Below are 22,785 nucleotides of genomic sequence, written 5' to 3' on the forward strand. Positions count from 1 at the left end.
TCCTTACCGCACCTCCCCTGCACCACTGCCCACCCTTTGCACTTTCTGCCAATAATACCAGAGATATTTTTATAACTTTGAACACACTATTCTTTGCCTATGCTGTTCCCTCTGTCTGGAATGGATCTCTCCCACTTCCATTTCCTTCCAAATTCCCAAGATACTCCTATTCATTCTTCAAAGCCCTGCTTAGTTGTCACATCTTGGGGAGCTCCCTTGGCTGGACCCCTAAACCATTGATTCCTCCCGGTCTTCACTCTTCCTATACCTAATATAAACTTACAATGTTGCAATATATTGTGGCACATTACAATGTTGCAGTCTACTCTCCTGGTGTGTTGTAAAGTTACAGTGTACTGTGGTATGCTACGATGTTGCAGAGTACTTCCCTGGTATGTTACAAAGTTAAAGCCTACCCTGGAGCTTTACAATGTTGCGGTGTATCCTCTTGATGCTTTACAACTATCCTAGCTCCCCCATTCCCAGCTATGTGATCTGGGGCATTATTTAATTTTTCTATGCCCCAGTTTCCTCACCTACCTCATGTGAGGAGTTGAATGAGTTAGCACAATGCTGTTACTAGAACAGTGTTTAGCACCTAGCACAAAGGAGGAGCTTGATAAACATTAGGTGTTTTGTTTTTGTTTTTTAGGGTCTTTTGAGACAGGGTCTGGCTTTGTGGCCCAGGCTGGAGGGTAGTGGCATGATCACAGCTCACTGTAGCGTCGACCTCCTGGTCTCAAGCAATACTTCTACCTCAGCCTCCCAAGTAGCTAGGACCACAGGCACGAGCTACCATACCCAGCTAATTTTTTAATTTTCTGTTGAGACAGTCTCCCTGTGTTGCCCAGGCTGGTATGGACTCCGGGGTTGAAATGATCCTTCTGCCTTGGTCCCACAAAGTACTGGGATTACAGGCGTGAGCCACCACACCCGGCCAATATTAGCTATTTTTAAAAGTATGTTGGTTTCTACACTCTTTCTCCTGCTTTTGATTATCAGCTCCCTGAGGTCAGCAAATCATCAAGCTCCAGGGCCCAGCATAGTAGCTTGGTGTACCAGGGGAATCAGTCATGCTCTCTGACCTGAGCTGACCAGCAGCTTGCAGTCACTCTGCAGAGATAGCAGAGATAAGCTCTAGGAAGAGAAACAATTCCAGTCACATGTAATGAGGAGGACCAGGCATCACAGAGCACAGCAGGTGAGAACTTGGGCTTTGTCAGCAGAAATAACCGTGTTCTGAGTTTGCCACTTACTAGTCGCTTAATCTCTATGCCTCAGTTTCCTCTCTAGTGAAATAGTTTCCTATTTCACTAGAGAAACCTCTGTGCCTCAGTTTCCTCACTAGTGAAATAGAAAAAACAAGCACGTTCACAACTATCCTAGCTCCGCCATTCTGAGTTGTGTGATCTGGGACATATTATTTAACTTCTCTTAGAGTTGTTATGAGAAATTTAAATAAGATAAAGTCAATAAAACACTTAGCATCAGGGCCTTTGCACCTGCAGCTCCTCTGCCAGAAACACCTTACCTCTCCTCAAAGATTACCTTCTTAACTCGGCTCTCCCTGGCCACTCTCTTAGCAAGGTGAGTGTCCTGGCACCCTGCGAATGCTCTTTAATCTGGAAATGAAAATACTATTCTTTATGATGGGAGAGAGAGACAGCCAGCGTTGACACAAGCCCCATACCTCACCCAATGCTCCGGGCTTCACCCCAACACATGGGGACAGAAAAGGGCCAGAGCTGATGGGCAAAGCTTCTCCCAGGATTGATGTTGGGTCTGGAAGGAGGGATGGGCTTCACACGGGGGGCAGGGGGAAGCAGCATATGCAGGGATAAGCCATGTGTTGGGAGGTCAGGGAGCTGGCCAGCTGGGCTGGAGCCAAGAGCTCCCTCCAGTAGCAGCCTTGTGAGCACAAATGGAAAAGGAGGTCAGGGGAGAGTGCAGCTTATTATTACTGAGTCTGAACCCAATCATAATAAATAATAATTTTAATCATAAAAGTAATCATTTATTAAATATTTACCACCATGTTCTAAGTCTTTAGGGGAACATTATCCTGACAGCTCTATGAGATATAGTTATTATTATTATATAGGTATTATTATTATTATCCTCAAGTTGCACGGTGGGGACCTACCTACCTTAGGTAACTTGCCCCAGTCACATTGCCAGTCAGTGGCAGAGCTCTAACATTGGCTACCCCAACCCTGAAACTTACAGCCTCTGGCCCATCTGTTTCCTGGTCAGGAGCTGGATGGAGCAGCTCCTTAGGCAGTGGCTGTGGGAAGTAGGTGTAGGGACTATTGACCATGGGTTCCAATCCCAGTTCCACCTCTGCCCTAGGAGTATGGCTTTGCATACACTGTTTTGCCTCTAAGCCTCAGTTTCCTCATCTGTGAAATGAGAATAAAATGCCCAACCGTCCACAATTGTGACGTGGATCAAATACATGTGGAACCCTTAGCACAGAAGCCAATGCATGAGAACAGCTGCAGAAAGGGCAGCCATCTCTCGCCCTTGGGCCGTCTCTAGCCAGACCAACTGCGCAGGGCCTGGGAAGACGTGGCCCCTGGCTTGCAGTCAGAATGAGAGTGTCAGGGAACAAGGGGACTTTGGAATAGGGTGGGAAGAGGAAGTGTACCTCTGTGCAGGGCACTGGTGTTCTGAGCCCCTGCCTGTTGAGAAGATGCTGAGAAGGGGCAGCTAAAATAGCAGGGCTGTCACTGAGACAGGTTTATAAGCAAGGCCAGATCTTTGGGTCCTAGAAATTTGCTTGCCAGGTGAGCCCTCCGTTGGGCCGAACTCATTCCTGCCTGCCAGGCCATCGTCCTCCTCCTCCAGGTCCATGCTAGCTCCCCTCCCTTGACCCCCATCTCCACCCAAGCCATTCTGGGGACAGCTGCAGCCAGGCCGGGTGTGGCATGTGTGATGTGTGGGCCCTTCACAATCCCTACTGAACTCTGGCCCTCACAGAGCAAAGACTACCCTGAACATCCACCTTCCTTCCCCTGCCCCTCTTTATGCTGTCCTTCAGAAGCACGAGGAGAAGAAGGGATATGACATTAGGGAACACTTTCTGTGTGCCAGGCAAGTGCTGAGGACTTTACATGCCTCCATCCACTGGATCCTCTCTTGCCCCCTAACGATATGTGGCAACATCCCCTAATGAATCTCCCTGCCTTTACCCTGACAATCTGCCCTCAACACAGCAGGGTCGAGACTTTTGCAATGTAAGCCAGGTCACTCCTGCTCAAAGCCTTCCAGTGGCTGTCTCTCTTACTCAGAGAAAAAGCCAGCCTCTACCAACTAGTGCTGTGACCTTCAGCAAGTCATGCCTCCTCTCTGCTTCATTTCTGACCATGTAAAATGCAGGGAGCATTTCTCTCATAGCATCATTGTGAGTGGTGTTAAGTGCATTAATAGCAGTAACTGCTTGGAATGAGGTGTGGTATGTGGAAAGTACTCTATAAATGTTAGCTTGATCATTATTGTCATTACCATGGCCATAGAGCCCTATGCAATCTGGCCCAACTGCCGCAGCCTTGCAGTTCCCTCGAGAGCTAGGCACACTTCCTGCCTCAGGGCCTTTGCACCTGCAGCTTCTCTGCTGGAAACACCTTACCTCTCCTCAAAGATTACCTTCTTAACTAGGCTGTCCCTGCCCACCCTCTTTGACATGGACCCATGCCCACTCCCAATTCCCCCTAACCTGCTTTATTTTCCTCCATAGCATATGTCAGCATCTGGCACATGACATCTCTATGTCTCATTTATTCGTCATCCGACACCCACTACATGCAAGTAGTGTAAGCTCTAAGGAGACAGGGATTTTTGTCTGTCTTGTTCACAACTGTATCTCCAACACCTAGAGCAGTGCTTGGCACACAGTGGCAACTCAGTAATTGCTGAATCAATGGAGGAATCTTTATAACAGCCCTAAGAGACAGTTATTTGTACCCGCATTTTATAGAGGAAGAAAGGGAGGCTTAGTAAGGCTGGGAGTTTGCCTGAGGCTGCAGCTTGAAGGATGGGGGTTGGTGGACCCCAGAGCCCTGTGCTCTCCTTGCCATGTGTCTAATGATCTTCTGCCCACCCACTTCCCAGCCCTGGCACAGTGCTTTTCCTTAAGTGGGTGGGGCTCCAGAAGTGACAGGAAGGCATAAAGGTATTTATTTGTTTCAGTCAGCTTGGGCTACTATAACAAAATGCCATAGACTGGGTGGCTTAAACCCTGGAAGTGTATTTGGTCACAGTTCTGCAGGCTGAGAGTCTGAGATCAAGTTGCCCACATGGTCAGGTTCTGATGAGGGCACCTGTTCCTGGCTTGCAGATGGCCACCTTCTCAATATGTCCCCACACGGTGGAGGAAGAGGAAAAAGAGGGTGAAAGAGGTTTGATTTATTTATTTTTGCAACAGGGTCTTGATCTGTCACCCAGGCTGGAGGCCACCCTGGAGTGCAGTGGTGGTGTGATCACGGCTCACTGCAGCTTTGAACTCCTGGACTCAAGTGATCCTCTCACTCAGCCTCCTGGCTAGAACTACAGGCATGTACCACCATGCCCAGCTAATTTTTTTTTTTTTTTTTTTTTTAATGTAGAGACAAGGCCTTGCTATGTTGCCCAGGCTGGTCTTGAACTCCTGGGCTCAAGTAATCCCCCTGCTTCAGCCTTCCAAACTGTCATGATTACAGATATGAGCCACTGTACCCAGCCAGGAAAGAGAGCTCTTCTTATAAGGCCACAGTCCTATTGGATTAGGGCCCTACCCTTAAGACCTTCCTTAACATTAATTACCTCCTAAAGACCTTATCTCCAAATACAGTCACATGTGGGGTTAGGGCTTGAACATATGAACGTTGAGGAGACATATTGAGTCCATAGTAGCATTTCCAAAGCCATTGAGAGGAGATGGTGGCCCTGGAGACAGTCGTGTGCTGCTTACTGCAGTGACTGTATTCAGACCATGGAATGCATCACTCAGCGCTGTCCTGAGTCCTCCGCAGATTGGTGGGGTGATGAGCGCAATCTCATTTGACCCTCAAAATAACCGCATAAGGTAGTTGTTATTATCCCCATTCTATCGATAGAGAAACTAAGGCTCAGAAAGGAAAGCTGACTTGCCGAAGGACCCCCAACCCCAGCCGGAAAATGTCAGGTCTCTCTGATGCCAAAGCCTATATGCTCTTAACTACTCTATGAAATTCCCTTGGAACAGCCAGGGGACACCTACCTGGGCCCATGGGACTGAAGTGGGATGGACTTGCCCTCCAGGAGCCTGATGCCCCATTGGGGCAAGATGCATACATGGGATGTGGCAGTGGGCCTAAGTGCCAAGTGCAGGCTCTGCTAGCAAGTGCAGAAGGAGCCCAGAAATCAGTGTGGCCTGGGTGGGTCACCAAGGGTGGGAAGGGTCCCGCTGGCTGAAGAGAAAGAGGGAGGGCATTCCAGGCCAAGCCACACAAACTCCATGTGCAGGACCACGCAAGTGTAGCAGGCAGGGGACAGTGAGCTCGGCAGTTGACTGGAGGACAGAGAGGCTGAAGGGCAGACATGGCAGGAAAGCTGAGAGGTGGGAAGAGGTCAGGTGCTGGCAGGCCTGGAATGTCACTGAGGTTCTGCAGCAGGTGGTATTCATGTGCTGTTTCCGCAGTGGGGGCAGAAAGGCCTAGGACGAGCATTGGCTTTAGTAGGGTATCAACCCTGAGCAGGGGCCACAGGGCTGTGTTTGTTATGTGGCCGGTCAGAGAGGGTAGGTTCAGGTAAAGAAAATGGGGCTGAGTACAGTGGCTCAGCCTGTAATCCCAGCACTTTGAGAGGCCGAGGCAGGAGGGTCACTTGAGGCCAAGAGTTCGAGGCCAGCCTGGGCAACATAGCAAGACCCTGTTTCTATTTTATTTTGTTTTATTTTATTTTATTTTATTTTATTTATTTTATTTTATTTTATTTTATTTTATTTTATTTTATTTTATTTTAGAGAGTCTTGCTCTGTCACTCAGGTTGGAGTGCAATGATGTTATCTCTGCTCACTGCAACCTCCTGGGTTCAAGCGATTCTCCTGCCACAGCCTCCTGAGTAACTGGGATTACAGGCCTGAGCCACCACACCTGGCTGATTTTTGTATTTTTAGTAGAGACAGAGTTTTACCATTTTCACCAGGCTTGTCTCAAACTCCTGACTTCAAGTGATCTACCTGCCTCAGCCTCCCAAAGTGCTGGGATTACAGGTGTGAGCCATCGCACCCAGCCTTCTATTTTTGAAAAAGAAAAGAAAATGGGTTGACATGAGGCTCACACCACAGCACAGAGCTGAGCTTCACTTTCCTCAGATGGCAGCTGCCAGTAGTCCCAGGCCTGCCTCCGCATAGCAGCTGTGGCCTTAGGAAAGATCATGTGGCTGGTAGGACCTTCAGAGATTCACTGACTTCGTCATGCTCACCAGCAAGGTTTCTTTTTGTTTTCTCTTCTCTTCTCTTCTCTTCTCTTCTCTTCTCTTCTCTTCTCTTCTCTTCTCTTCTCTTCTCTTCTCTTCTTTGAGATGGAGTCTCACTCGTGTTGCCCAGGCTGGAGTGCAGTGGCGTGATCTTGGCTCACTGCAACCTCTGCATCCTGGGTTCAAGTGATTCTCATGCCTCAGCCTCCTGAGTAGCTGGGATTACAGGTGTGCGCCACCACACCCAGCTAATTTCTGTATTTTTAGTAGAGATGGGGTTTCACCATATTGGCCAGGCTGGTCTCGATCTCCCGACCTCAAGTGATCCGCCCGCCTCAGCCTCCCAAAATGCTGGGATTGATTACAGGTGTGAGCCACAGAACCCAGCCTCACTGGCAAGTTTTCAAGCCCCTCACAAGAGGGCCCATTCGACCAGTGGCGTGCTGGCAAATGCTTACACTAGGCTCTTGGGGGAGGGAGCTGAGGCAATTCTGTAGGATTGGACTTGCATGGTGCAAATACTCCCATCACAGCCACTATTGAGCTACCAACACCATGTGACCAAATGCAGAGCAGGGAAGAGATTGACATTGTGGGCTCTTATGAGCCCATCTGAGCTGGCTCCAACTCTCCCTGCATGTAAACTTTAAACTCTCATACGTGCACACACACACACACACACACACACACACACACACACACACTCACACCAGCTTTCAGAATCGCCACCACATTCTGCTCACACCCCGTCACTACAACAGCACTTATTAGCAGGGGCCCTGGAGGAAGGAGCCAGCCACTCTGGGTGTCCCTGAATCTCTGGGCTTTGAGCGCCAATCGGACCTTCCCCTAGAGGGTGCTTGGTGGCTCATCATAGCTCCAAACATGAGTCCTGGGAGAGCCCCTGGGGCAGGTCCAAATGCTCCACATGTTGACCTCAAGGACGTGGCCTCCCCAGCAGTCAAAAAGCACCAAAGTCACAGAGCCCTCAGTTAGACCTGAGTCCCAGAAGGAGACTGGGGAGTAGCCCGAGACAAAGGGAAGAAGGAGACTGGGGAGCAGCCTGAGACAAACGGAATGCCAATGTCACACTGGGGTGCTCGGGGCTGCAGATTGCCAGCTTTCATGTTACTTGCCAAAGACCCATCTTAGCATCTTGCATCTTCTTGCGTTCCTTTTCCTAGAGGAGACCCTAAGTGGCTGGAGGTGAGAGCTCAAGGGGCTGAAGGTGTCCAAGGGGAAGAACCACAGCTCTCCTGCTGTGCTGAGCCAGGGTGGTGGTTCAGCGGGACAGAGGCAGCCAGACCTGGAAGCCAGTAGTGGGGCTCCCGCTCCAGCTGGCCACCTGTGCAGGGGCCCAGCTGCCTGTGGGGACGTCACTGGCCAGCTGAGGCCTTTGTGAGGGTGTGGAGCTTGAGTTGGTAAGGATGGCTGAGCTGGTGTCCCTGTGGGCTCCCATGTGAGTCCAGGGCCCCCAAGGGTGCTCTTGTTGTCCCAAGAAACCTCACCCCTTCTCTCCTGGTTGCTTTTCCTTCCCCACCGCCCACTATAGGTTTTTCATCATCAAAGAGAGCTTTCTGCTTTACTACTCTGAGAGCGAAAAAAAGAGCTTTGAAACCAATAAATACTTCAATATACATCCTAAGGTGAGGCGGCCCCTCCCAGGGCCACAGCAGGGGAGGGCCCAGTGCGGGCATCAGAGCTTGCATCTTGTGAGGGGAGGGGACTGCGCTCTTGCTCTGGCCTAGCAGAGAGTCTGGAGAGCAAATCCTCTTGGGGCAAAAGACCCCCTGCCCCTGTCCTGGGCTGGACCCTCACTCTCCTGTGCCCCAGACCCTGCCCCAACCCTTCCTCTTCTCTCTGAACATCAGTTCTGGCCTCTGTCCCATGGCCCCAGGGTCTAGCTTCCATCCTGGGGCACTTGGCAGGAACTGGCTTTGTCCAGGGGCCCCCAGAACCCCTGAGTGACCCCAGTTGGGTGGGGTGGGGGCTGCCTGTTCTGGTTCTTCCTCAGGGCGTCATCCCTCTGGGGGGCTGCCTGGTGGAGCCCAAGGAAGAGCCTAGCATGCCCTATGCCATGAAGATCTCCCACCAGGACTTCCATGTGAGTAAAGCTCTTCCCTCAGCCTGGGCTCCGCAGGAGCAGACCAGCCTCTCAGGCCTCTTCAGGACACACATCCCATGTCCTGGCCTGGGAGAGGGGCATCAGCACCCAGGGATGTGGGGTGGGTGACAGGGCAGAGCTGGGCCTCCATCACCCTCAGCGTGGCTGCCTCTCAGGCATGCGCATGGCTCCTCTTCCTGGCAGGGGAACATCTTGCTTGCTGCTGAGTCGGAGTTTGAGCAGACCCAGTGGCTGGAGATGCTGCAGGAGTCTGGGAAGGTGTAAGTGCTCACAGCCAGGAGGGCAGCCTGCAGATCCAGGATGGGGTGGGCGGGGCTGCCCCTGAACTCCCTGCCTCTCTGCTGGGATCCTGGTGGGCACAGGGCCAGGGCTGTGGGAGATGGCTAGGGTAGGGGAGAGCAGACAGGCCAGGTTTTAGAGCATCTGTGAGGGGTCCCCTGAGTGAGCTTGAAAAGTGTCTAGGTCACAGGTGGCAGGTGTGGGTACCATTTGTCTCCAACTCTTGGGAGTTGTATTTGATGCCTCCTGACACCCATCTCACCTCCCCAGGCCCATAATTAATTCTAGCAAGGACTAGAGCTAGTGCTTTGTAAATTAGGGTCAAGATCACAGAAATCTCCTGCCAACCCAGTCCATTTTTATGTAAACCACTGTCCTGACACCTGCCTAGTCAGGCTAGGTCATGCTTTTAGTTCCAAAAACACCGACCGTGTGCTCTGTGGCAGGCCTTGCACTGGGTAGCGGACATTCAGTAATGTAAAAAAGCCACCCAGGAAGCAATCTCCTCCCTGCTCTAAAAGTGCTGTTGGCCCAGCCCCCAGTGGCCCACTTTGCAGCCTGGGCCAGCCTCCAGCTACTGTAACTGATCCGTGCTGGTGACATGCCCAGAGCCATGGGTGCCAGAGTGAATGCAAGTTGAGATTCTGGAGGAGAAAGGGTGGGCGAGTACAAAACGTATGCCTTCTCTTTCCCCTCTACCCTTCTGTTTTAATGATTTTCTGTTTCTTCCTCTTCTCTCCTCTGTCCCATCTGCCCTCCCTCCCCAGGACCTGGAAGAATGCCCAGCTGGGAGAAGCCATGATCAAAAGCCTGGAGGCCCAGGGGCTGCAGTTGGCTAAGGAAAAGCAGGAGTATTTAGGTTGGCTGGAGGGGTGGTTCCCTAATGGTAGCAGCACTTGGGGACCAGGGGCTATAGCCAGGGGCTTGGTAAAGGATGCAGCAGGGATGAGGGTCTCTCAGGTGGGGCTATGAGGGAACAGAGACCAGTTTGGCACCTGGAGGGCTTCCTGGTACACTACGCATCCTTTTGGCCAACATGACTGAAGGCAGGAGCGTCTGATGGTTAAGAGCCTGGGCTCTGGATCCAGCTTCATCATTTGTCACCCATCTCAGCTGTGTATATCTTTAGGCAGCTCAGCCTCTCTAAGCCTCAATTTCCTCATCCTTAAAATCGAGTTAAAAATAGTCTCTAGCTTTTAGAGGATTGGGTTAAATGAGACAATGTCTGTAAGTGCTTGAGCCAGACATGCAGTAAGGGCTCCATAAGTGGAGTTGATGTTGTTATCCTATCCTGGGTCCCCAGGGTCTGGCTTGTCCCCAGTACCCTTGCCCCAGGCCATTTTAAACCTTGCCACAGCATTCCAGACCTTGTGCCCCTGACAGGTTGGTAAACATGCACTGTTTGGGAGAGAAGATGAGACTGAGGGTTTGCCTTCAGCCTGGGACCCTCTCCCCTCTGCCTGCTTAGACACTTGGGGCCCCAGCACTTGCTCCCCTATGCCTGCTTCAGAACTTCCTAGGTTCTGCCCTCCTTACTAGCCAGACATTAGTGCAGGTGGAAGGTGGGTGTGGGACTAGCCCAGGTGCAGCAGGCCTGGGGGATGCAGAGACTGCTTTGAACTTCCAAGGATGAGGCCCCTCATAACCCTAGGAAAAGAAAAAGCAGGATGATGATGGGGGAAGGAGGGTGGCAGCTTCCATCACCAGGAGCTGGCCCACCCTCTGGCTGGCAGGGCTGCAGGCCCCTTCCTTGGGAGATGCTGGGGGTGACAGCGACCACCTCAGGCACCAGCTCCCTCAGGACCTCAGAGCACTTTCCTGATTGTGTGTGCATGTGTGTGTGTGTGCTTGTTTTGGCAGACAAACTGATGGAAGAGACCGAAGAACTCTGCCTTCAGAGGGAGCAGAGAGAGGTAGGTGCACACCAAGGGGCTCTCAGCAGCCGTGGTGTAATGGCTCACGTTTCTAGCACTAGGGAATGATGCAGGGGAGCTGGGTGCACAGAGGACTTGCTAGAAGATCAGATGGGGCAGGGCGGGGAGGCCAAATGGGATCACAGTGCTTGCTTGGGACTTGCTGTAACTTGTTGGTAAGAAGTGTCTTTCTCCTTACCAACCCCTGGGAGTAAAGTGAAAAGGGTGGGTGATGACCTTCTAGAGAAAGAGCCATCCAAAGTGTCATCAGCTGCATCAGTTGGTAATGAGCTGCTTGTCAATGATGTTCACGGGAGCTATAATGCCCTCTGTTATCCATAGAGGGCTATCTGGCACCTGAGGGTGATTGGGCTTGATGATCTCAGAAGTTCCTTCATTCTCTGAATGTCAAAAGTCCACAGCAGGCTAAGCACTGGCTTGAGGCAGACTGGAGGGTAAAGGAGACTCTTGCCTTGTGTGAAGGAGGGGAGCCACCGAAGCCCTCTTCTTCATTTAGAATCTCAGTGCAGGCTGGGCGCAGTGGCTCACGCCTGTAATCCCAGCACTGTGGGAGGCCAAGGCGGGTGGATCACCTGAGGTCGGGAATTCAAGACCAGCCTGGCCAACATGGTGAAACCCCGTCTCTACTAAAAATACAAAAATAAGCCGGGCGTGGTAGCGGGCGCCTGTAGTCCCAGCTACTCGGGAGGCTGAGGCAGGAGAATGGCGTGAACCCGGGAGGCGGAGCTTGCAGTGAGCCGAGATCGCGCCACTGCACTCCAGCCTGGGCGACAGAGCGAGACTCCGTCTCAAAAAAAAAAAAAAAAAAAAAAAATAAGCCGGGCATGGAAGTGCGTGCTTATAGTCCCAGCTTTTCGGGCAGCTGAGGCAGGAGAATCGCTTGAACCCGGGAGGCCGAGGCTGCAGTGAGCTGAGATTGTGCCATTGCATTTCAGCCTGGGCGACAGAACGAGACTCCGTCTCAAAAAAAAAAAAAAAAAAAAAAAAAATCTCAGCGAAGCACTGGGCCTTGCCTGTTCTGAGGAGTCATTACCACATATTAAGGGCAGGGGGCGGTAGTGGGTAGTACCGTGGATTCTGGAGCCAGGCTGCCTGTATTTGTATTTGACCTTCAATACTTCTAGCTTTGTGACCTCAGGCAAGTTATTTAACTTCTCCAAATCTTCTTATCTGAAAAATGCAGATGATAATAGAATCCATCTTAGGGATGTTGTGATGATTTAGTGAGATGTTCCATATAAAGTGTTTGGCACATAGTACATGCTTAACGAATATCTGTGTTTGTTAGCATTATGATCGTATTATTAATATAGGCCCATGCTGCAAGTGAACTGTCTGAGGCCTGAAGCAGCAGAGTGGCTTGACCAGAGCAGCCTGCAGAGGGAGGGCCTTATTTAGTTCACTTTTCTTTGCCTAGTCACTTGTCCTTGTCCTCTCCCAGGCAAGTCACAGGGCAGGGGCTATCAGCCTTGGCTCAGAACCTCTAACTTGACTCTTAGGAAGTCCTCAGTTTTCCCACCCACCCCTCCCTGGGCTCTGAAACAGGCCATATCATCAAAAAGCATCATGTCCCCTTTGCACCCCAAATATTCCCAGGGCCTGGCACAGCTCCTGGCCCAAGACGAGTTCTTGGTAAATGTTTGTGGAATGAATTAGTAAATGAATGGGATTGATTTTTCACAACTTTACATCTTAATTTTAATCCAACAGGACAATCCACCCTCATTTTTCTTCTTCTAAAATTGTATTGGTTATTCTTGCTCATTTTATCCTTCCAGCTGGACTTCAGAATCATTTCATTGATTAAAGAGAAAATAAAAAAAGAATGGGGATTTGTATTTGGATGGCATGGATTTGAGGACTGGCATTATAATGGCAATGAGTCTTCTTCCATCACCAGAGTTGGTCCTCTGTGTCTCCAGGCTCTCCTCTAGGTCCTGTGTTAGGGTTTTGGCATTTTCTGCACACAATTCTATACATTTCAAGCAAGGCTTCTGTATTGTCAGCAAATTAAAAACAGGTGCCCAGGGATGGGATGGAGTGGCAGACACAGCCACTGGCAGGGAGAGAGACAGACTTATCCATCAGAGAGGCTAAATCTGGGGCAGCAGTTGGCTGGAGGAAAATTTAGACACTCTATCTAGGTCTTTAGCCAGGAAATTAGGACAGCGGAGACCCACTGCACACAGGCCTCCCTTAATGCCACAGCACAGGGAAGGAGGGAGGCCTGTCAGCTGTGAACTCCCTGGCTTTCTGGTATAAAATGTGAATGAGACTCAGGCCCAGCTGGTACCCACCATGAAGGCTGTTCTGGGCATGGAGAGAACTGTGCCTCAGTTCTCATTTTTTGTCAGCTGCATGCTCTAGATCTGGAATAGAGCTCAGGTTCTAGTCTTTGCCACTGAGTCATTCAGTCAAAGTTTCTTCTTCCTTAACTTTCTCATGCATAGGATGGGTCTGCCTGTCTCCTGCACTTTTCCCATCTGCACTCAGGTCAGAGATTGTCTGGGTGTGCCTTGAGCCGCTGAGGCAATTGATGTAATGGCCTAGTGATAAGATGAAGGTTCTTCTGCTGATTGCTGTGGTCTCTTTGAGACAACATGGCCTAAAGAAAGACTGAAGATATGGAACCAGGAGACCTGGATTGGAGTCTTAACTCTATCACTGACTGTGTGATGTTGGGCATGTCAGTTACCCTCTCTGAGCTTCAATTTCCCCCCATCTGGGATGTCTGATTAGAGTTATGCTGGCTGCTGCGTACTTCTAGGGTTGCTGCGAGGCCCAATGAAGTAGAACGCGGGGAAGGGATTTGTGAACTGGAAAGGCCCTTGTGCACTGTGTGATGTACAGTCCTGACATCCTCCATGCAGCAGAAAAGTCCTGGGACTCTGGAGGAATGAGCAGAGCGTGCAGGGGGAACCCTCCTGACTCATCTTCCCAGAGCCGGAAGTCCATGCCCTTCCCTGGGTTCCTGGTCTTTGGCTCCCTCTGGCCTTATCCCTCTCACCCCTGGAGGAGGGCAGCCTGCCTACCTTTCCCCTTCTGACTGAGTTGTGAGAGCTCAGCCATGCACATGAGCAGGTGCAGGAGAAAAATCAGAAATGCCCAGGGTAGGGCAGGGTTTCTGGCAAGGTTCTTGCCACCTGGAGTGCTCACAGTCAGAGTACAGACTCTTTGAGTTGGAAAAAATGTGCCACTACAACTGAAGCTCTTTGTCAACCTTTTTGGTGGACATTGTTCCTGGTTCTGTGACGAATGACTCACTACCTCCAGAGGTGTCCTTTGCATGATTTCTCAGTTATTTGAAAGCTCTTCCTTTCATTGAGCTGAAGTGTGCCTTCTAGTGACTTTTTCTCACCTTTATACTCCTGCAACTTAAGTCAGACCCAAGATTCAGCAGAACACACGATATAGTAGAGAAAGGTTTGAATTGTGGCAGGGCTTAGCAGACAACTCAGTCTATAATGGGGCTGCTACAAACACTCAAGCCATGCTGGGCTTCAGGAACAGCAAGTTCTGGCTGCTCCAGGTTTATAAGTGGTAACTTCCACTCTTATCAGCATTCTCAGGCTACACTTGGACACTGGCTTCCTTTAAGAAACATACAGGTGAAGTGAAAAGTGGAAAAGAAATGAGAAAGGAAGTGAGAATTTCTCTTTCCTTAATAAACTTTATTTTTTGGAGCAGTTTAGATTCACAGCAAAACTACGCAGCAAATACAGAGATTTTCCACATAACACTTGTTCCCCACAGGGTTCCCCACTGTCAATATCCAGCACCACAGTGATACATTTGTTACAATCAATGAGTCAACATTGACACACTGTCACCCAAAGTTCATAGCATACATTAGGGTTCACTCTTGGTGTTGTACATCCTCTGGATTTTGGCAAACGTATAACAATATGTATCTACCACTGTAGTATCATACACAATAGTTTCACTGCCCTAAAAATGCTCATTTCACTGTCCTAAAAATCCTGGCAACTGCTTTTTTTTTTTTTTTTTTTTTTTTTTTTAAAGACGGAATCTTGCCCTGTTGCCCATGCTGGAGTGCAGTGGCGCGATCTCGGCTCACTGCAACCTCTGCCTCCTGGGTTCAAGGGATTCTCCTGCCTCTGCCTCCTGAGTAGCTGGGAATACAGGCGCGTGCCACCATTTTTGTATTTTTAGAAGAGACGGGGCTTCACCGTGTTAGCCAGGATGGCCTCGAACTCCTGACCTCATGATCCCCCCTCCTCGGCCTCCCAAAGTGCTGGGATTACAGGCATGAGCCACCGTGCCCAGCCACTGCTGATCTTTTTACTGTATCCATAGTTTTGCCTTTTCCAGAATGTCATGTAGCTGGAGTCATATGGTATGTAGCTTTTTTAGATTGGCTTCTTTCACTTAGTAATGTGCATTCAGGTTTCCTCCGTGTCTTTTTGTGGCTTGATAGCTCATTTCTTTTCAGTGCTGAATGATATTACCTTATCCGCATGTCCTACAGTTTGTTTATCCCTCTCCCTACTTAAGGACATCTTGGTTGCCTCCAAGTTTTGACAATTATGAATAAAATTGCTATAAACATCCATGTGCAGGTTTTTGTGTGGACATACATTTTCAGTTTATTTGGAAAAGTAATAAGGAGTATGATTGTTGGATTGCATGGTGAAAATATGTTCAGTTTTGTAAGAAGTTGCCAAACTGTCTTCCAAAGTAGCTGTACCATTTTGTATTTGCAGTAGCAATGAATGAGAGTTCCTGTTGCTCCACATCCTTGCCAGCATTTGGTGTTGTCAGGGATTTGAATTTTGGCTATTTTATTTTTTATTTCAATTTTTAGTTTTTGAGACAGAGTCTTGCTCTGTTGCCCAGACTGGAGTGCAGTGGAGTGTGGCTCACTGCAGCCTTGAATTCCTGGGTTTAAGAGATCCTCTCACCTCAGCCTCCTGAGTAGCTGGGACTATAGGTGCACTCCAGCACACTTGGCTAATTTTTTTAAATTATTTTTATAGAGATGGGGTCTCCTTATGTTGAACTCCTGAGATCAAGTGATCTCCCCTCTTGGCCTCCTAAAGTGCTGGGATTACAGGCATAGCCACTGTATCTGGCTGATTTTGGCCACTTTCATGAGTTTAGCGGTAGCTCGTTGTTATTTTAATTTGCAATTACCTAATCATATATGATGTTGGACATCCTTTTATATGCTTATATGCCATCTTAAAATTTTTATTTATTTTTTTAGGCCGGGCGTGGTGGCTCACGCCTGTAATCCTAGAACTTTGGGAAGCTGAGGCAGGCGGATCATGAGATGAGGAGTTCGAGACCAGCCTGGCCAACATGGTGAAATGCTGTCTCTACTAAAATACAAAAATTAGCCGGGGGTGGTGATGTGTGCCTATAATCCCAGCTACTTGGGAGGCTGAGGCAGGAGAATTGCTTGAACCCAGGAGGCAGAGGTTACAGTGAGCCGAGATTGTGCCACAGCACTACAGCCTGGGTGACAGAGCAAGACTCCATCTCAAAAAAAAAAAACAAAAACAAAAAAACTATTTTTGAGTCAGGGTCCCACACTGTCATCCAGGCTGAGTGCAGTGGCGTGATCACGGTTAACTGTAGCCTCCCAGGCTAAAGTGATCCACCTGCCTCAGCCTCCCAAGTAGCTGGGACTACAGGCATGCACCACCATGCACGGCTAATTTTTTATTTTTTGTTGTTGCCTGCCACAATCCCTGGTGGACTGAACAAATGGGGGCAAACATGGGACTAAAAGACAAGAGACGAAAGAGTATATTTGGAAGAAGGGGTCTGGGGCACCTCACGGACAAGTGCCCTGAGCTTTACACAGCCCTCCATATTTATTAGGCAAAAGAGATAGTGAGAAAGTGGGGGTGATTATCGGGTAATTGTCAGTTGACTGTTTGATTCACAGCAAGCTTGTGAGACTGCATTCTTTGAACAATAGGCACTAGATTCTCAACAGGTAACTTCAAGGAGCCCAGCGCCAGGGAGTGATGGCCCTCAGTAAGCCTTTTGGTGGCAGGTGTGTAAGTTTGCTCACATTCTACATTCATGATAAACAGTTTGCTGTTTGATCATATAGCCGCCAGTAGAATGCTGAGTTGGTCACAATCCCTTTGGCCTTTTCGGCTCCCAACATTTTATGGAGATGGGGTCTTGCTCTGTTGCCCAGGCTGGTCTTGCATTCCTGAACACAAGTGATCCTCCCACTTTGGCCTCCCAAAATCCTGGGATTACAGATGTGAGCCACTGTGCCTGGCCTGCCATCTTTATATCTTCTTTGCTAAGATGTCTGGGTCTTTTGCCCATTTTTTTATTGTTGAGCTTCATGAGTTCTTTGTATATTTTGCATAACAGTCCTTTATTAGATGTGTCTGGGAATGTTTTCTCCTAGTTTGTGACTTGTTTTCTTATTCTCTTGATGTCATTCACAGGGAATAAAATTTTAATTTTAATGAAATCCATCTTATCAATTACTTCCTTCAAAGATCATGCCTTTTGTGTTATGTCTTAAAAAGTCAGTACTGTAGATTTTCATCACCTTGATAAAAATCTTTTTGTAGACATCACCTAGGTTGTCTCCTATGTTATCTTCTAGGAGTTGTATACTTTTGTGTTTTGCATTTAGCTCTATGATCCATTGTGATTTATTTTTTGTGAAAAGTGTTTAAGGTCTGTGTAGAGTCTTTTTTTTTTCTTTTGCATGTGGCTGTCCAGTTGTTCAAGTACCATATGTTGAAAAGACTATCTTAGGCCACGCACGGTGGCTCATGCCTGTAATCCCAGCACTTTGGGAGGTCGAGGCGGGTGGATCACCTGAGGTCAGGAGTTCGAAACCAGCCTAGCCAACATGGTGAAACCCTGCCTCTACTAAAAATACAAAAATTAGCCAGGCGTGGTGGCGGGCGCCTGTAATCCCAGCTACTCAGGAGACTGAGGCAGGAGAATCACTTGAACCCAGGAGGCAGAGGTTGCTGTGAGCCAAGATCACACCACTGCACCCCAGCCTGGGTTACAGAGTGAGACTCCATCTCAAAAAAAAAAAAGACTGGCTTTTCCAATACTATTGTACTGCCTTTGCTCCATTGTCAGAGTTGAATTGACTATATTTATGTTAGTATGTTTCCGAGCTCTCTATTCTGTTCTATTTATATATTTGTTTATTTTTTCATCAATACCACAATGTCTTGATTGCTGTAGCTTTATAGTAAGTCTTAAAGTTGGGTAGTCTCAGTCTTCCAATTTTCTCCTTCAATATTGAGTTGGCTATTATGGGTGTTTTGCCTCTCCATGTAAACTTTAGAATCAATTTGTCAGTTTCCACAAAACAACATGCTGGGATTTTAATTGAGATTGTATTGAATCTATAGATCAAGTTGGGAAATGATATCTTGCAAATATTGAATCATCCTATTTATGAACATGGACTATCCCTTCATTTTAGTTCTTTGATATCTTTTATTACATTCTGTAGTTTTCTACATATAGATTTTGTACATTATTTTTAGATTTATACCTAAGTATTTCATTTTGGAGGGTGCTAATGTCAATGGTAATGTGTTGTTACATTTCAAATTTCCACTGCACTCCAGCTGGGTGACAGAGCAAGACCCTATCTTCAAAAGAAAAAAAAAATCTCAAATTCCACCTTTTTATTGCCAGTATATAGGAAAATAATTGACTTTGTACATTAATCTTGTATCCTACAATCTTGCTACAATTGCTTATTAATTCCAGGAATTTTTTTGGTCAATTCTTCCAGATTTTCTATATAGACAATCATGTCATCTGTGAACAGAGACAGTATTATTTCTTTCTTTGTAATCTGTATACCTTCTATTTCCTTTTCTTGTCTGATTGTGTTAGTTAGGAATTCCAGTACAATGTTGAGAAGCACTGGTGAGAAGGGACATCCTCATCTTCTTCCTTTCTGATCTTATCAGGCAAGCTTCTAGTTTCTCACCATTTAGTATGATGTTAGCTGTAGGTGTTTGTAGATGTTCTCTATCACATTGAGGAAGTTCCTCTCTATTACTAGTTTGTTGAGAGTTTTCATCATCAATTGGTGTTGGATTTTGTCAAATGCTTTTTCCATGTGATTCTTTTTCTCTTCTTTAGCCTGTTGATGTGATGGATTATATTAATTGATTTTCAAATATTGAACCAGCCTTGTATACTTGGGAATAAATTCCACTTAGTTGTGATGTATTATTCGTTTGGATTTGGTTTTCTTTGTTTTGTTTGTTTGTTTGTTTGTTGTTTGTTTGTTTTGAAACAGAGTTTCAGTCTTGTTGTCCAGGCTAGAGTTGCAGTAGTGTGATCTTGGCTAACTGTTACCTCTGCCTCCTGGGTTCAAGCGATCCTCCTGCCTCAGCCTCCCAAGTAGCTGGGATTAAAGGTATGTGCCACCATGCCCTGCTAATTTTGTATTTTTAGTAGAGATGGAGTTTCATCACGTTGGTCAGGCTGGTTTCAACCTCCTGACCTCAGATAATCCACCTGCCTCCGCCTCCCAAAGTGCTGGGTTTACAGGCATGAGCCACCTCACACAGACCATTGTTGGATTTGATTTGTTAATATTTTGTTGAAAATTTTTGCATCTGTGTTCATGAAAGATACTGGTCTGTAGTTTTCTTTTTCTCCTTTTCTTTTTTTTCTTTTTTTGAGACAGAGTCTTGCTCTGTCACCCAGGCTGGAGTGCAGTGGCACCATCTCAGCTCACTGCAACCTCCTCCTGCCAGGTTCAAGGGATCCTCGTGCCTTAGTCTCCCAAGTAGCTGGGATTACAGGTGTGCGCCACCATACCTGGCTAAGTTTTGTATTTTTTATTAGAGACATGGTTTCACCATGTTGGTCAGGCTGGTCTCAAACTCCTGGCCTCAAGTGATCTGCCTGCCTCGGCCTCCCAAAGTGCTAGGATTATAGGTATGATCCACTGTGACTGGCCAGTCTGTAGTTTTCTTATAATGTCTCTATTAGGTTTTGGTAAGGTAATTCTAGCCTCATTGAATGGATTAGGAAATATTCCCTTGGCTTCTATCTTGAGAAAAAAAGATTGTAGATAATTGGTATAGTTTCTTAAATGTTTGATATAATTTATCACTGAGCCCCTCTGGGCCTGGTGCTTTCTGTTTTGGAAGGGCATTAATTATTGATTCAATTTATTTAATAGATATAGGCCTATTCAAATTGTCTGTTTCTTCTTGTGTAAGTTTTGACAGATTGTATCTTTCAAGGAGTTGGTCCATTTCATCTGAGTTATCAAATTTATTGGCATAGAGTTATTCATCATAGTTCTTTATTATCCTTTTAATGTCAGTGGTGTCTGTAGTTATGTTCCCTCTTTCATTTCTGATATTAATAATTTGTGTCTTCTTTCTTTTTATTTAGCCTAGTTAGAGTCTTATGAATTTTATTTATCTTTTCAAAGAACTGGCTTTTGATTTTGTTGATTTTCTGTGTTGATTTCCTGTTTTCAATTTCATTGATTTCTGCTCTGTTTTATTTCTTTTTTTCTGCTTACCTTTGATTTAATTTTCTCTTTTTTTTTCTAGTTTCCTAATGTGGAAGCTTAGATTATTGATTTTAGATATTTCTTCTTTTCTAATATATTAATTTGATGCTATGCATTTCTCTCAAAGCACTGCTTTTGTTACATTCCACAAATTTTGATGAGTTGTATTTTCATTTAGTTCAAAGTATCTTTAGATTTCTCTTGATATTTCTTCTTTGACACATGTGTTATTTAGAAATGTGTTCTTTAATCTTCAAGTATTTTGTGGATTTTCCAGTTAACTTTCTTTTGTTGATTTCTAGCACAATTCCACTTTGGTTTAGGAGCAGACATTACATGATTTCTATTATTTTATATTTGTGGTCTGGGCACAGTGATGCATGCCTGTAATCCCAGCACTTTGGGAAGCCAAGGCAGGAGGATTGCTTGAGGCCAGGAGTTTGTGGCAAGCCTGGGCAACACAGCAAGGCCCAGTCTCTAAGAAAAAAAAAAAAGAGAGAGAGAGAAAGAAAAAAGAAAAAAATTCACCAGGGATAGTGGCATATGCCTGTAGTCCTCGCCACTCAGGAGGCTGAGGCAGGAGGATTACTTGAACCCAGGAGTTACAATGAGCTATGATTGTACCACTGCACTTCAGCCTGGATGACAGCAAGACCCTGGGCATGGTGGTGCATGCCTGTAATCCTAGCTACTCAGGAGGCTGAGGCGGGAGAACCACTTGAACCCAGGAGGCGGAAGTTGCAGTGAGACAAGATGGCACCACTGTACTCCAGCCTGGGTGGCAGAGGAAGACTCCATCTCAAAAATAAAATAAAATAAAATAAAATAATAAAATAAAATAAAATAAAATAAAATAAAAAAGAGTTTAATGGAGTAAATGAAAGATTCGCGAATCAGGCAGCCCTCAGAATCACAGCAGATTGACAGAGACTCCAGGGGTGCCTGTGATCAGAACAAATTTATAGACAAAAAAGGTAAAGTGACATATAGGAATCGGAAGTGAGGTACAGAAGCAGCAAGATTGGTTACAGCTTGGTGTTTGCCTTATTTGAACGCAGTTTGGACATTCAGCAGTCTATGAGTGGCTGAAGTGTGGCCGCTGGGATTGGCTAACACTCAGCTATTGTTACAGGTGCATACTATTAAATTAGGTTTTCAATTTTGTCTGTTAAGCTAAGTTACAGTTCATCCATAAGGACTCAAATATAAAAGTATGGAGTCCTTCTCAGGCCATATTTATTTTGCTTTAACACACTTATTCACTCTCCAATGCTCTTCCTTTCCTTATGTAGATATGAGTTTCTGACCTATATCATTTTCCTTCTCCCTGAGGACTTCTTTTAACATTTCTTGCAAGACAGGTCTACTGGCAACAAATTCCCTCTATTTTTGTTTGTCTGAGAAAGTATTCCTCCTTCACTTTTGAAGGATGATTTTATAGGGTACAGAATTCTAAGCTGGTGTTTTATTCTCTCAATACTTTAAATATTTCACTCCATTCTTTTCTTGCTTTCATGGTTTCTGAGAAGCCAGATGTAATTCTTATCTTCTTTCTTCAATAGGTAATTTTTTCTTCTTCTGGCTTCTTAAGATATTTTTCCTCATCTTTGATTTTTTGAAGTTTAAATATGAAATTTCTAGATATGGTTTGTTTAGGGCATTTATTCATTTGGTGTTCTCTTAGCTTCCTAGATCTGTGGTTTGATGTCTGACATTAATATGGGAAAACTCTCAGTCATTGCTTCAAATATTGCTTCTAGTCCTTCTGATTATTCTCATTATACATTTTGCACCTTTTGCAGTTGTCGCACAGTTCTTCGATATTCTGCTCTGGGTTTTTTTTTTTTCAGCCTTTTTTCTCTTTGCTTTTCAGTTTTGGAAATTTCTATTGTCATAGCCTCAAGCTGAGAGATTTTTTTTCCTCGGCCATGTCCAGTCTCGCAATGATCCCATCATAAGCATTCTTCACTCTTACAGTGTTTGTGATCTCTTGCAATTTCTTTTTTATTCTTAGAATTTTCATCTCTCTACTTATATTATCCATCTGTTCTTGCATGTTGTCTACTTTTGCCATTAAAGCTCTTAATACATTAATCTTAGTTTGCGTTTAAATTCCTGGTCTGATAATTCCAGCATTCCTGCCATATCTAATCTGGTTCTGATGCTTGCTCTATCTCTTCAAATTGTGTTTTTTACCTTCTAGTATGCCTTGTGATTTTTTGTTGAATGCCCTTTATTTTTTCCCTGGCCACGATGTATTGGGTAAAAGGAGTTGTGGTGAATAGGCCTTTAGTGATGTGGTGGTCTTAGCCTTTTGGTGAGTTGCGCCCCTGGACTGTGAACTTCATAAATGCTTCTCAGGGCTTTCCCCCACCTTAGGTAGAATAGCATGGGTACAGTGGGCTGGAATTTGGTATTTCCCTTCCCCCAAGTAGGTTACACTCTGATAAAACAGGTTAGGCTCTGGTATAATCGTTTATGGCAGGCTTTGTAAA

At 46.5% G+C, this 22,785-nt stretch overlaps 1 protein-coding gene across 3 annotated transcripts in view; it reads left to right on the forward strand.

Annotated features, from left to right (window-relative positions):
- PLEKHD1 (pleckstrin homology and coiled-coil domain containing D1) overlaps positions 1-22,785 on the forward strand; it is a 63,808-nt gene that overhangs the window by 24,384 nt on the left and 16,639 nt on the right. For 2 of the 3 annotated variants that reach the window (XM_017021290.1, NM_001161498.2), the window contains exons 2-6: positions 7,988-8,081; positions 8,450-8,539; positions 8,744-8,820; positions 9,607-9,698; positions 10,700-10,752. In XM_017021290.1, the coding sequence (XP_016876779.1) occupies positions 8,501-8,539; positions 8,744-8,820; positions 9,607-9,698; positions 10,700-10,752 (261 nt within the window). In that variant the 5' untranslated portion in view covers positions 7,988-8,081; positions 8,450-8,500. Of the gene's footprint in view, positions 1-7,987; positions 8,082-8,449; positions 8,540-8,743; positions 8,821-9,429; positions 9,498-9,606; positions 9,699-10,699; positions 10,753-22,785 lie in introns of those variants that run through there. The other variant, XM_011536762.2, reaches the window with a different exon arrangement.

This window comes from Homo sapiens, chromosome 14 (assembly GCF_000001405.40).
Source record: "Homo sapiens chromosome 14, GRCh38.p14 Primary Assembly".
In the NCBI taxonomy this organism is placed as follows: domain Eukaryota; kingdom Metazoa; phylum Chordata; class Mammalia; order Primates; family Hominidae; genus Homo; species Homo sapiens.